Here is a 15,550-nt window from a genome sequence, read left to right as displayed (position 1 = left end):
CCTACTAATTGGCTGAGCTGAAGGATGAATTAAAGTATAATTTTTAGGAAATCACAGAGGGTTCTTTGGTCACATGGTGTTAAACTGATGTATTAAATAAGGTGTGTTTAAATCAATGGATGGATGTCACGCTATTCATAAGGAGCTTTCTGGGTGAAAGAGTGAAACTATTTGCATATTCAAACCACTGTTTTAAACTATATTTTATAGAAGAAATTAGAGTAAGGGGAAATAGGCCTCTATTCCTCTTGTTGCCTGTGAAGCCAGGTTGTGTTTCCTCTTACTTGCAGTGGCCGGTGAGGGCAGGAGTGGGAGAAGGAAGCCACATTGAGCACCTACTATATGCCAGGAGCTTTGCATGTGGAACTGTTTAACTGTTATGTGATATAATCCTCATAACATCCTTCTTGGAAAGGAATTATAATTTACAGATGAAAATAAAGAGGTCTAGGAAAATTAAGAAAGTTGCCTGGGCTGGGCGTGGTGGCTCTTGCCTGTAATCTTAACACTGAGAGTATTAGGCAGGCAGATCGCTTGAGCTCAGGAGTTGGAGACCATCCTGGGCAACATGGTGAGACCCACCCCATTTCTACTAAAAATACAAAAAATTCGCTGGGTGTAGTGGCTCACACGTGTAGTCCCAACTACTCAGGAGGCTGAGGTGGGAGGATTGCTTGAGTCCCAGAGATTGAGGCTGCAGTGAGTTGAGATTGTACCAGTGCACTCCAGCCTGTGTGACAGAGTGACACCCTGTCTCAAAAAAAAAAAAAAAAAAAAGAAGGAAAGAGGGAAGGAAAAAAGGAAGGCAAGCAAGCAAACAAGAAAGAAAGAAAAAAGAAAGAAAGAGAGAAAGAGAAAGGAAGGAAGAAAGAGAGAGAGAGAGAAAGAGAAAGAAAGAAAGAAAGAAAGAAAGAAAGAAAGAAAGAAAAGAAAAGAAAGAAAGAAGGAAGGAAAGAAAGAAAGAAAGAAGAAGAAAGAAAGGAAAGAAAGAAAAAGTTGCCTGGAAGGCTAAGCATGGGGCTAAGGGCCAGGCACACAGAAGGGCTTGGATGAAGTTGAGGCCCTGGCTTTTTCCACTAGACCAGGCCAACCTGCAGAAAATGGGCAAACAATACAGAAAGCCTGCTAACCGCCCCTTGTGTATTTTCCTGGTGAAAGCACAGACATCTGACGTGAGGTTTCTTGGAACGGAGCTGGTGGCTCAGTCTGGAAAGTGGTGAAATACTACAAGCTATCATGTTTTCAGACTTCTCTCTGAATGCTCTGGAAAGCAGAACAAGTTCTTAACTTGCTTACTTTTCAGTACAGTGGTTTTCAGCAGAGGTCAATTTTTCCTCCCAAGGGACATTCAGCAATGTCTGGAAACATTTTTAGTTGTCACAACTCTTGGGAGAAGGGGTATACTACAGGCATCTAGTGGGTAGAGGCCACAGATGGTTCTTAGCATCCTAAAATGCACAGGCACATAACCACTACTTGACATGACATTGAATTGCCTGGATAAAGTTCTGCAGATTATATGATAATCAGAAAAGCAAGTATAAAAATAAGATATGTCAAATAGTGGAAACTACATTAGCACTGTTATATATCATCAAGACTATGATCCTCTATGGGAGAAAGAAGAATTAGAGTACTTACAGCCAAGTTAGCTGATGTAAGTCTTTGAATATTCCAGGTCTGAGGGTTGTGATGCAGTTGTGGTTGAGATATCTACAAATAGCATGGGTGAGTTAATTAGGCAAACTCAATACCCTATTTTAGTCACATATAATTAGAATATGAGCCACTGATGATGATTATGGATATGGACATCTGCGTCTGAAAGTATTCGGCTGAATGAGCAGAGGGGGCAAATTCAAGGGGTATCCAGAAGGTACAGATAACCACAAGCCCAGTGTGTGCAACACCAGGGCCAGGGCAGAGAAAGTGGTCCTAAAATGTTTTGGGATATTACATCATGTTAGATTGTAAGGGTATAATAACTAAGTATGTGGGGCAATTTTTGCTTTTGTCCTTTTTGGTGACATCCTTAGTAGACTAGCATTTTAAGAAAATGCATAGCAAGTTAGCAAGAGTTAGAAAAGAAATAAAATGCTAAAATATTGTGGAAGTGACCCAAGCTAGAGAAGACAAGGTTAAGGAGAACCTTTGTATGTCTTCTGGTAAAGGTAGGAATCGTTTAATAATTCTTTCAGTGTAATAACTAATCTAAGTACTTTGTGATAACCTATTCCTCCCACTTCCCTACAATCAAGTCGAGCCTTGAAAAAGTACCATTCTATCCTTTTAGTCTTTGCTTAAAATTATACCTACAATATGAGAAAGAGGTTACTCACAATATTTGCAGATTACATAATCCAAAAAATGCTTTCCTGGATATGTGTCTAATGCAATTATGCTGAAGAAATCTGGTAGGAATAAGATAAGAGAGTCAGGTGATTATGGTTTATGGACTATATTAGGTTGTTGAACATATTCTCCACTTTCTTTACCTGAAGACAATTGTGAAATTGAAGTACGAAGTCCTATTCTCATGTTGGGGAGATGTTGTCAGTGAGAAATGGCTACCAACTAGCCAGTGCTTTCCTCATAGTACTCATGCAATGAGATTGAGGCATCTCTGATTCATACGCTGAACTCCAGTGTGATGTGTCTGCGGAAGGATCTAGTCTTGTTTCTGCAAACTGGCACTATGGTGACCGTCCTGTTCTGACTGGCAGGAGTTTCTGGCCATGTGAGACTAGCCAGCCTCGCACTGCTGAACTTTCTTCCTCTTTGTGCACAGAGATGCACCTTTAACTCCTCATTTATCCTTATTCTATTCCCATGAAATAAAGGAGAGGGCAAGCTTTAATTCTTTTCTATTTCATGATGCAAAGTGAGAAGGACAAGGCAAGTTAGGTACTCAGGATATCAAAGGACATCAGCAGTTGAACCAGGGCAAGTATGCCAATTTCAAGTCATAGGATCAGGACTGACTTAACCTCTGAAGCAACTTAATAGTACAGTATTGATTCCGTAATTGCGCTGTCAGGAGTATCTAAGTAAATAATTTCCATTTGCTGTCTTCATTGTACAATGGGAAGTTAGCTCTGAATTCCTATTCTCTGAAGGCTCTCAGGGGCAGGAAATAACTATACTAATAGTAACAAATTGTTACATAGTCTTTTGAATGGCTTCCATTTCTCTTATTTTGGTTTGAATTGCTTCCTAAACTATTACACAGCGCTGTTTCATTGTTATGATATTCTACTGCAAAACTATTTGTAGATCACATGCTCATTTGACGTCTGGCTATACTGTGAATTTTGTTATACCATGATTATTTCCTAGCAGAGCTCCCCAGCCTTTGCCTCTGAGTCACGATTGTCTTATAAGAGTGCCAGGATGGTGACTCTTTCAGACCTGAAGAGAGCCAGGTAAAGCCAAGATTGGAGGGGTTATCAGAGGTCAGGAAGCGGGGAGATGAAGGGGTACAAATGAATATTTACTACCACTAAACTGTACACTTAAAAATGGTAAAGATGGTAAAGTACACTTATTTAACTTCAATTAAAAAAAGAAAGTGAAAGTAAATAAAGATTATTAGAAAGGAAAAAAAAAAAGCCAGGACAGGCTTCCAGTTATCAGCAAACACAATCTTTTACCCCAAGTACTTTACAAATACGGTCATTTTCCCTATGTTCCTCCATGTGCCAAGTGTTGGCACTACAGAACATCACATCTGTGGTGATATGCAAAGCATCAATTTCAATCCTGCAAAGTAAACTTGAAACCCAGTGTGACCTTGTGCCATCTTAACCCCCATTCCCGGTACCATATCTATGGGGAGATGCTTCACAGAGCAGCATACATTCTGCTTTTGGTTGAAGGTTCTGCTGTGAATAGGATGAACTCACACAGATCAATATCTGTTTTAGCACTTTCAGAGCCTTGAGACTGATGCAATGAAGTTAATATGATGAATTATGTTACAGTAGCAAATGAAAATAGAAAAAGAGCAAAATACTGTATTGTAGGTATATTGAAGTTTCTCTTAAATATACAATTCACTGCTTAACTAATGCTATTTACATTTTATTCAAGATGAGAAATTCAAAAATGGAATGTATATTTTACCTACATGTTGTCACATCTTGAAGAGATGAATGCAGTTGCAAATTGTGAATTTGACCTTACGCTTTTGTCTTATAAGTCAAGGGAAAGAAAGAGTAAAACCAGTGATCCACACAACTCATCTGATGTGTACAACCTATCTCCCTTCACTGACATCAGTTAAAACTCAAACTCTTAAATAATGAAGAGCTTCTAGTCTTCTATTTAGTTAGCTGGTTGCCACCCCATAGAGAACTGTAGTCCCTCCTACGTTCCATGTCTCAGACTTAGGCTGCTGAACTTGAACTCCATCCTCTAGTCTCTGCTGTCTTCTTTGCAGAATAGTAGCTTAAAGAATGTGTGGGGATATTTGGAAACATGACAACTTGGCAAGTGGCGCCCTCTTTTTATTCAGAGCTGAGATATAAGCCCATTTAATATACTTTACACCGAATGCCTTTTCTAAGGATAACTTACAGGTTCATGAATTCCTGCAGTTTCAGCTGTCAGGACTTTTCAAGCAGAAATGCCAGGAATTTATGTACCCGAAACTAAAGCAAATAAATGCTTTAATGACATGCATGTTTATAGGCAATTTTTGAATGTGCCATTTTGTATTCAAGAGCCAGGCAGACACCTTGAGTTTCGTTTTGTTTCCAGTGATTGTATTTAACAAGAACCCAGATTAAGAAGGAATTCCTAATTTATAAAAGGTTTTTGTTACAATAAGGAGGAGAACTGCTGTTTGTTTCCATGGTAGCAGTGATAAAGTATTATAGTCAATTCCATAAATTGTATTTTATTTCCCTGAAAGGTCATTTGAAACTGCATCCACCCCCAATTTAGAAAGGCCTGACATTTTAAAAGATTATTAAAATGAATAAACTGATCAATGGTAAAAACATTCAGATCAGTTAAGCAACACATTCATCTGGCAATTAAGATTTAATTTTGATTTAGGAATTTGTTTTTTGTTTTTTTTTGGATGCCTAAATGATCTCAACTCCACTGTGAATATTTAGAGCATTCCAGACTGGAGACCCTCTTGACATTAAATTTGGTGATCTCGCAGGACAACAGTCCCCACGGTTTCGTAGAAGACAATTTTTCTTTTTTCTTTCTTTCTTTCTTTTTTTTTTTTAAGACAGAGTTACGCTCCATTGCCCAGGCTGGAGTGCTGTGGTGAGTTCTTGGCTCACTGCAATCTGGACTTTTTGGGGTCAAGCGATTCTCCTGCCTCACCCTCTTGAGTAGCTGGGACTACAGATGCACGCCACCATGCCCAGCTAATGTTTTTGTTGTATTTTTAGTAGAGACATTCACGATGTTGGCCAGGCTGGTCTCAAACTTCTGACCTCAACAGATCCACCTGCCTCAGCCTCTGAAAGTGCTGGGATTACAGGCTTGAGCCACTGTGCCTGGCCAATTTTTCTATGGATGGAGAGGGGGGATGGTTTCAGGATGATTCAAGTGCATTACATTTATCCTTAGATTCTCTTAAAGAGTGCACAACCCAGATCCCTTGCATGTGCAGTTCACAATAGTGTTCACACTACGGTGAGAATCTAATGCCACTGCTGATCCGACAGGAGGAGGCAGAGCTCAGCTTTGCTTGCTCGCTCACCACTCACCTCCTGCTGTGCAGCCCAGTTCCTAACATGCCACAGACTGGTACCGCTCTGTGATTTGGGGTCTGGGAACCCCTGGCATAGGATATATCCCAATACAACTTAAATATGCAGATTAACTTTATTAGCTCAATACAGTCTAAAACACATATTTGTGCATGTCTGTTCTCTGCTCAAACAGAATAAAATTCAGATGCCTTAGCTGGCATACAATCAAGATTCAGTGACCTCTCCGGCATACGCTCCATCATCTCCTGTGGGGATGCCTTTCCTTTAGGCAAACTGCATGTTCACTCTCTTCTCAACATCCTTTGAGTATTTCTGCTTATGTTTCTTTCTTCTCCCTGGTGAAGATGCTCCCCACCTTCTCTTTAGTTCTACATGTTAGTGCTACCCATCGTTCATTCAGCAAATACTCATTAGTCCTTATGGGTTTCTTACTAGGTATGCTACGACACAGGCCTCAATAGACTAAGAGAGAACCAGGAGGACTGTCCAGCCCATGAGGAGGGTATGGTGGTCAGAGAGTTGTTCCTTCGAGAAGGAAAGTGAGGGCTTCATGAAAATAGAATTGTAGTTGACCCGAGTCATGTGTAAAACTCAAACAGTAGAGAATACTGTGGCAATAAAAATGTGTATCTAGTTGGAGAAGCAAGAAAGTGTCAAGGAAAGTCTCAGTTTGCCTCCTGGAACCTGTTTTATAATGTTGTGAGATAATATAAAAGGAACAACTGCTTATTTCTCAACTCCTACTTTGTTCTTGTGTTCTGGATCAAAGAAGATGGTCTTAGGATTGAAGCAAATGGAAAGGCTATATGGCAGGTCAGTGAAAGCCCAAGATGGTAGAAGGTGTTAATCAAAATTAATTAAAGCCCTCTGGTTTGGAAATTTTCTCCCAGAAATTGAGAAATGCCAAAAAATGAGAACATCAAATTATGATCAGTTGCTGAGGAATCCAGAGAAAGGATGAGCAGCTGGAAAGTAAAAGATGGCAAATGTAGTCTTAAGTTCTCAAAAAGGGAAGAAGTTGGTTTCACAAGCTGTAGTTGGATGAGCTCAATGCTGGTCTTGGGAAGATCATAGAACAGGTGAATATGATGCTGCTTTGTCTATGCCTCAAAGAGAGAGTGACCAGGAGAGCTCACAAGAAACCACATGGCAGACCAACTTCATATTCTTCTTTGAAAGACTGTGCAAAACTATGTGATAAACATTGTTACATGTCTACTGGGCATTGATCAAGCAGTTTTATAATTTTTTATGGACAAAAGAAAGAATGACACATATTCTTATCTGAAGGATGATGATGAAGGAATATAGAAAGACAATTTAGTGCTGTTCTCTTCAATATTTTACTCCATGACCTGGGTGAAGGTAGTTGATCTTATTTGCAGATGACATAATTATGAGAGGAGTAGTGACTATGATGGAAAATACAAAAAGACCTTCACACTCCGGTAAGAAAAGCTGACTCTAACAGGATGAAACTGACTAGGGATGTATTTAAGGACCCATGACTAACTCTCAAATGCTAAGTGCATGAGTACAAGATGTAGCACACACATCACTTAGCAGCAACACATGTGGCATGGAATTAGAAATTATAGATCACTAGGAGTCAAGAGTATCAAGAAGTCATCAAAAGAGCAATATAATCATAGGGCACATAGAGTGCAGAAGGAAAGGGATGCGAGTTCTTCCCTATTTGCCTCGGTCATGTTACGGTGATAATAGTATATTTATTCTAGATGTCACCCATCAAGACAAATGTAGGTAAACATATGCAGATTATTGTGACTAGAATGAAGAACAGATTTGAAACTATGTCCTTTGGGGAGGAATTTAAGGAAATGAGGATACTTAGGGAAGAGATTAGTGGTGTGGTGGAGGGTGATGATAGCTAGTCTTAAATACCTGTAGACGTATGTAGAAGACCAATTAGATGTGTTCTGAGCAGTCTCTTGGGGGTAAATTTAGGAATGATGGGAAGCTTTAGAGGCGCCTTGAGCAGTGGTAATGTGGACAAAATTATTAGTGAATTGTTTGAAATTCCATTTCCCCAGCACCTTCTAATCCTCTTTCTGGTTTATTTTTAGCCCTCACCACCACCTAACAAATTATATATTTTAAACTTTGTTTATTGACTATCTTTCTTGATTGGAAATTAAGCTCCACAAGCTTAATTTCATCTTTTCATCTGTGTTGTTCATGCTGTATCCTTGGTGCCTGGCACCTTGTAGGTATCAATAAATATTCATCACAGGAGTGAATGAATATGTGGGTCTTGCTAGCTACTGCTCTCCTGCTACCAGATTCCATACCAAGAGTTCTGGCTGAGGCCCATCTGGTTTCTTCCTCCAACTGACATCCCTTCCTGGGGATGGTTTGGTATTTGCCACATTTGTTATTTGGGTCATTGAATGAGGATTGGGAAGAAAAAGGTAAGAGTAGATGGACAGGAGGGACAAGAAGTAGGACTGGTGCAGGGGGCTATTTTTCTGGGAGTTTGGAAAAGAGCAGGAGGAGTTGAGGAATGTGGGTAAAGGGGATGGTGAGGAAAGGAGATTTAAGGAAGCATTGTTGAGCTTATGAGCTGCTCTAGGATATTTGAGTATAAAGAACTTGAGTTATTTTCAAATCAAAGTTTACTTACTGGGTGGTTTCATTGATAATAACATATTCTGAGCCTGGACTATGTGGGTGGGCTTCCAAAGGAGCATGGTCAGAAGGTTTGGGTTTGAGGCCAATCTCTATTACTTGTCAGCTGACTGACTTTGGGCAAACAACCTCTCTCCCCAAGTAGCTTTCCTCATTCCTGAAACTGCTGTAACGGTGTCTGCCCCACCTCACAGACTTTGGAGATCAAAGCCAAAGTGAAAATTCCAAATATTGGAATTCTTTGTAAACTTTAAAAAGTGGTAGATGACTGTAAGCAATTGTGTTTTATCCCCCTGTGCTTTATCTTACATATAATAGACACTTGGTGAATGTTTATTGATGAGAGTCTCATAACCTCTTTTCTATTAGTCTCTGGGAAAATTAAATTGCCTGCAAATCATCAAATAGCAGCTTGCATGGGGAGAAGCCCTGTCAGGTGATATTCAGGTTATGATGTGGTGCCTGTTTTCTCTGACAAAGTAGAATTAGACATTTACTTAGAGAAATTGCTAGCTAATCTTGGCAATAAAGGTTAGTCTCTATCTTTTTTCACTAGGAAAATTGTGGACCTGAATTATTAAATTGCTTCTATATTCTTCTCTTCAGTGGGCTAGCAGGGCCTGGGACCACAGAGGGAGATATTGGCATAGAACACAGTTATGAGTTAATAGACCAAGGAAGGACGTGGCCTGAGAAGTCTAATTTTAACCCTCCTGCTTGAGCCTCTAGTGACTCCGCCCCCTCCCCAGAAGTCAGCTTGCCCCAGATTAGGGGGCAAAACATATACAAGGGAATTCTACATGGGGTGGGACAGTCTGTGCTGGTAGAAATTCAGTTGATTGCTAGAACTATTTCTTTCCCTCTTAAGGTTTCCTGTTATGGTAAAGTAAGCACTACCTTGGACATCAGAAGACATTGGCTCTAATTCTGGGTCTTCCACTTACTAGTTGTAGATCTTAGGTGAGTCATTTAACCATTGCAGACTTTAGTCACTTCGTGTGTAATGAGAAGATTTAATTAGAAATTCTTAAAACTTCTATGACTCTAGAAAATAGAATTTCAATTGCTGTGAAACAAGAATTCTGAAACGAAAATCTCTTCCCTTCCTTTCTGCTAGTGCTATTTTATTTTTCCTCCCACATGTATTATTCAGGCAGTACAAAGACAATATTGATTCATCTAATGAACATGTTGTGATTTTAGGGATTTCTTGGAAGACTAGGAAGAATGTGGTTAGAATTTCCTCTCTAGAGGAATCTGGACATGCAGAGCCAATGCATAGCTACTCCAGTGTGGCAATGACATGACCACATACCCACATACTTTAGGATGAAGCAACAGGTCTGAGAGCAGCCGGGGTTTACAGAGGCCACAATCAAGCCCAGGTATGATTGAGTATTGATGTTCACACAAGGTTCTACGTCATGGACTTCCATTAGCTACTTCTTTTCTTGTATGAGGAAATTTATACCTAAATTCAGGAACACAAAATCCTTGATGGTATTTCAAACCAAATGTGTGTGCCCAGTATCAGCAAAGATTCAGATAATTTTTATTCCTGGATTTTCATAAATTTCACATTTCTAGAAACTTTTCTCCTCTATGCTGGATATTGAAGGATAAAACAATAAGATGATGGTACCACCAAGGGGGCTTGCAGCGTGTACAGCATTCTCTTGCTAATTTTGTTATCTAGTCTAATGATCATCTCAGCAGGTGTAGCCCCTCCAGTGCCACAGAGCAACTGGCCCAGAGGGATTGACAGATATTGATCCAACTTACAAATGACTGATACACGAACCTGAATATTCTCCATTTATTAATGTGAATAGAAAGCATCCCATCCCACTTATAGGAATGCTCTTATTCTCTATGCCATGCAACTTTTCAAATACTTTAAAATGAAGAAGTTGGGAAATTAAATTCATCATCCTAAGGTTTCTTGGTGAGTAGAGAATCAAAGCAAAGGGATTGTTCATGAAAATTGTGGTGGGGATTGATGGTGCATCCTGACCCTCCAAGAGAGATCATCTCTAGGGATTATATTTCCCAGTTCCCGGTTTTCTTTCTTGGATGATTCTGGAAGCATATTGGCCCTTCTTTGTCACAGAATACCTTCTCTGCTGATCATATCCTATTTATTGGCATTTTCTTTCCTCAGATATGTTAATATCACTGGTTGCATAACTCCTGTGTTTTCACTCCTAACACCCTGGGGGATATCTGTACCCTATCATTATGTATCTGAAATGATCTGATTGTTCTTGTTTATGCTGTCACTCTTTTTTTTTCAAGTGAAAAAGTGCCTCTGAATCTGCAATGTCATTTTCCCAATATCTTGAGGAAAATAATGGAACTGTGTATTTTCCTATTGAGATGTTTTACCTCGACTCCAAGTTAATTCTCTGAAAAAGTTTAAATAAAATGGGTTCAGCTCCTTCAAATTATGAAATGGAAAGATAACATACTTTCAAATGTTTTATTTTCTAATCTTAATTACATTTAGAAACATAAATGTAATGATAAAGATAACAAACAATATTTTATTTTTAGATCAAAAACATCTTACACCACCACGAGGATTTTTTTTAAATAAATATGCTATTAACGGCTACTTACATCTTTTTAAGTTTTGTGTATTTGATGAAAACTTTATCTGGAAGACTGTGGATTTTGTTTTTCTTAAGAGACCTAAAATAACATGTAAAGCAAACTTCATTATGGATTGTTATGGCCAACCCACTCTTCCCTAGAAGCCACATGCTTGGGAAAAGAATATTTGATGACGTTCATTATACTAATCCATATTTGAACATGACAATAACTAAAAATTTTTCATGGGAGAATGAAAAGTTTATAAAGCAAAATAAAGTAGCTTGTGAGTATTTGACAAATGTAGCCAGTTAGTATAGTAGACTGGGAAGTCCATGTTGATTTAACTTCTTTGTTTTTACTCTGTGGGTGCATTAACAAACCAAACCAAACCAAAAACCAGCCAAAGATCCCAACCCACTCATGCATGCCCAAATGATGACATGACTGCAAATTCCTGAGGCTTTCAAGAACTTTATGCAAAGTACAGAAAATTTTGCATGATATAACATAGCTACTAGCTTCATGGATCTTTTATATCTTTGCAGTCTTGGATAGATTACCAACGTTAAAAAAAACGTAGAATAAGTGAGTGTGCTTCCTTTTAAAACAAAAAAAAAAAGCATTTCAACACAAGGACAGTAGTAATCATACATAAATCAGAAAGCAATTGAAAATAAGAACTCCAGGCCCACAGACATTTGTGAGCTAACTGATGACAGGCTAATCTAACATACAGTGTGTAAACCATTTTTTCCCCCTGAATAGGAAGCATGGAGAATTCTCTGATGACTGGTAGTTTTAAACAGGGTTTCTATTATTTTGCTAATGCACAAGCAACACTATTGGGTTTTTTCTTGGTTTTCATGTGACTATAGGGACAGATATCACCAATAATTAAGTTTTACTCACAGTAATGTCACATTGTTAGAAATCATCGGCACAGACTTTAAGTCACCATTTACACATTCCAATTCAGTTTCTTTGCAGTCACAGCATTGTGGATACTGTTTTAGAACTAATGGGACAAAAAGAGTAAGATTTCACTAGTAAACAAATACATTAATTATGACTTTGCCTTTAATAACTGATATTGTTTTCTTTTCATCGAATGTATAAAATTTACATCTGTTAAATGAACTCATTCAGCCCCTAATAAAATTAAATAAGAATTCTCTCCTACTTAAATGCAGACTAATGTGTTAATCTCAGTTCTAGCTTCTAGTAGTCATTTCAGAGGCATTTACCAAGTGATTGGAAAAAACGCACAAAATGTTAACTAGCATAAACTCATCTAGTGAAGCAAGATTAAGTTCACTTCAATGAAAAACATTTGTATGATTGAGTAATTCTTAATGGATATGACTGAGTCAATTCATTTGAATAGCATAAAATAGTTGCTCAATAAATCCTTATTGTTTAAAATCAGATTCATTTTTTTTCTTCCTTCAAACTTCCCTTAGAGCCATGAGAAGATTGAGATGCAGGTTCTACCATAACCACCCTGGCACCTTACTAAAATCCATCCAGCCAGATATTCCTTCATTTTGGTTCTTTGTTTTTTATTACTATGAGGTTGAAAGTTGAAGGTAAAAAGCTGCAAAGCTGAAATAACCAAAGATCTATCTATCTGAAGCATTCAGAAGAAAGAAGAAGGACTCAGGATGTACTCTGAAGGGACTTACGTAGTTACTAGGATAATGACATGTAAAGGAGTGAGAAATCTAAGGAGAAGCCAGGCCAAGCTGGTCCATAGGACAGTCACTGTGTGTGTGTGTGTGTGTGTGTGTGTGTGTGTGTGTGTGTGTGTGAAAGAGAGAGAGACAGACGAGGGCAGAGGAGAGAGAGCGAGGCTTTGAGAGAAAGAGCAAGTATTTTTGGAGTCTGATTTCTCCTCTGAGCCTATGAATATTTGTACTGATAGAGCTAAGAATGTGAGAGTTATTTTTGAATTTATTTTGTTATTTATTTTAATGTAATTATAAGTTCTTTTCAGGTGCCCTTCTTCTTTTAGATCACTTTTATCCAAATGTTATTTTAAAAATAAATTTTACTGAATTTTATTAGTAAAGCCAACAAACTTCTACTGAGTACTTAATGTAAAAGATGCTTTTAGTGTATACATTTTGGAAAATATTTTATGTTGTCTATACATATATGTTAATTAGCTCAACTTCCTAAAGATAACTTTCATATGCTTACGTCAATGTTTATTGACATAACCACCATTGAAATAGTGGTTATATGATTAAATTGAAAACCTGTGGTTGGAAACTTATTTACCAATAGAATAATTTCATATGGTCAAGCTGGGTGTGCTGTCAACACCAGAAATGTGAGCATTAACTGTTCACCCTCCATCACCTGCAAACCAATCATGTCCCCATGATTTTGTGGATTCTTTTTCTGAAACTCCTTTTGCATCTCTCTCTACCTCAATCTTCTCAATGGCATTTTCTGGGGATTGGAATAAACATAATAACCAGTAACTCTTTTATCATCATTCTTTCTCCTCTATCTGAACATGATTGACATTTTGGATCAATCGTTCTTTGTCATGGGAGGCTGTCCTTTGCATTGTAGGATGTTCAGCAGTAGCCCTGGCCTCTACCCACTAGATGCCAGCAGCAACCCACCCTCCTCCATCAGGATGACCAAAAGTGTCTCCAGGCTGGGCATGCGTGGCTCACACCCGTAATCCCAACACTTTGGGGGGCTGAGATGGGTGGACTGCTTGAGCCCAGCAGTTTGAGACCAGCCTGGGCAACATGGTAAGACCCCATCTCTACAAAGAATATGAAAATTAGCCAGGCATGGTGGTGCATGTCTGTGGTCCCAGCTACTCAGGAGGCTGAGTTGGAAGGATCAGTTGAGCCTGGGAGGTTTGAGGCTGCAGTGAGCTGTGATTGTATCACTGCACTCCATCCTGGGCAACAGAGTGAGATGCTGTCTCAAAAAAAAAAAAAAAAAAAAGTCTCCAGACACTGTCAAACGTTCTTTGCAGGCACTGTTGCCATGGCTGAGACTCGCTGCTCTAATCCATTCTCTGCAATTCTAATGAAATAATCTTCCTCACATACATTTCTGATCACATGCTCTTCCTCCTCATTAAGAATGAAAGAAATATAGAACAAATCAAACAAACATAAGGCCCAAAACTATGATGATTTCCCATTCTATACAGCAGTAACCTTTAAAATGGGATGTGGGCAAGACAACTCATTGTGGCTCAGGTAGAATAGTAGAACTTTTGGTTATATTTATTTTTAATCTTATCCTTTTTTACTTTCTAATTTTCATACAGAATATTCTTGTGTATAATAAAATATATAAGTGGTAATTATAAACTGGTATTATAGAGTACATAAAATACTATCAGTGTAGTATTTGATATATATGTTATATATATACATTTACATATACATACTAATGTATGTAATTGTACATTCATCTTCCTAATTATATATCTATGTCTCTACATATACACACACACCCCAAAAATTCTATCTATGGGATAGAGGCCACACTTCAAGGTGTACACCAAAACCCTTCATGGGCTAGCACCAGCCTTCTAGGCTCGGCTCCTGCCCCTCCACCTCATGCACTCAGAATGGTTGTGAAGAGGCATCCTGCAGCCTGCTGCGCATCTTCTGACCCCAGTGTTTTGTTGATCTTGCTCCTCTGCTCATCCTGTCACCTCATATCCTTTCCTTCATCCATGGACTTCAAAGTCCATCTCAAATGTTATCCTCTCTGGGAATCTTTCCCCATCCTCAGCACAGCCATCATTTCTTCCAATGGGCTTCCCCATTCCCTGGTGCAAACATTATTCCTCCCTTTTAGCAATAATATTATATCATCACTGCTTTTGTAAGGAGCTGTCTTTCCTGCTACATGTGAGATGTTTGTGGGTTAGAACTCAGTCTTAGTCATCGTTGTCCTCTCAGTGCCTAACATCTTTCTTGAAGAAAATAGTTAAAAGTAATAAGAACTTTACTATTTGTCACAATTATTCAATACTTATATATTCTTGCAATCAGAGAGTAATGCATGAAAATAGCATAAATGGAGATGGTCGTTTTCTTTTTCTATCTTTCCAATCACAGGCAGACAGCAGACCTGTTAGCCAGTGAAATACATTGAACTAAAACGGAAATTCTGAAGGGAATTTGTCACATTACCCATATAAATCTGTGCATCACAAATCATGTTTTTCACAAAGCTGATACTGTCTTTGAATCAAAACCACTTACAGCACTCCTGTGTTAAGGCCACGCTGTTAGCATTTCCATGCACTGTGCCAAATATGGTCGCCCATCCACTAGTGTCACCTGTGAAATAGTGATTGAGATGTGTCACTTATTCTAGAAACTAAATACCATCTGACAAAATTTAACAATTTGGTAATGATTTTAAACTAAAATATGTTTAAGTAATAGAATTATTGATATTTTAAATACATAGTAAGAGAGAAAAAGTTAGGCAAACATCTGCAAGGTGTCCCTTTTTTACATGAAAAATACTCCAAATGTATGTATCATAAAATTTGCAATGCAAGTATATAATTATTTTAC

At 38.4% G+C, this 15,550-nt stretch overlaps 1 protein-coding gene across 3 annotated transcripts in view; it reads right to left on the bottom strand.

Moving 5' to 3' along the window:
- RXFP2 (relaxin family peptide receptor 2) overlaps positions 1-15,550 on the bottom strand; it is a 63,864-nt gene that overhangs the window by 26,359 nt on the left and 21,955 nt on the right. For all 3 annotated transcript variants that reach the window (NM_130806.5, NM_001166058.2, XM_017020389.2), the window contains exons 3-7: positions 15,230-15,307; positions 11,889-11,994; positions 11,004-11,075; positions 2,340-2,411; positions 1,642-1,713 (exon numbers count right to left, since the gene is read on the bottom strand). In NM_130806.5, the coding sequence (NP_570718.1) occupies positions 1,642-1,713; positions 2,340-2,411; positions 11,004-11,075; positions 11,889-11,994; positions 15,230-15,307 (400 nt within the window). The remainder of the gene's footprint in view (positions 1-1,641; positions 1,714-2,339; positions 2,412-11,003; positions 11,076-11,888; positions 11,995-15,229; positions 15,308-15,550) is intronic.

Source organism: Homo sapiens, chromosome 13, assembly GCF_000001405.40.
Source record: "Homo sapiens chromosome 13, GRCh38.p14 Primary Assembly".
Classification (NCBI taxonomy): domain Eukaryota; kingdom Metazoa; phylum Chordata; class Mammalia; order Primates; family Hominidae; genus Homo; species Homo sapiens.
This window is presented reverse-complemented; position numbering and strand designations above follow the sequence as displayed.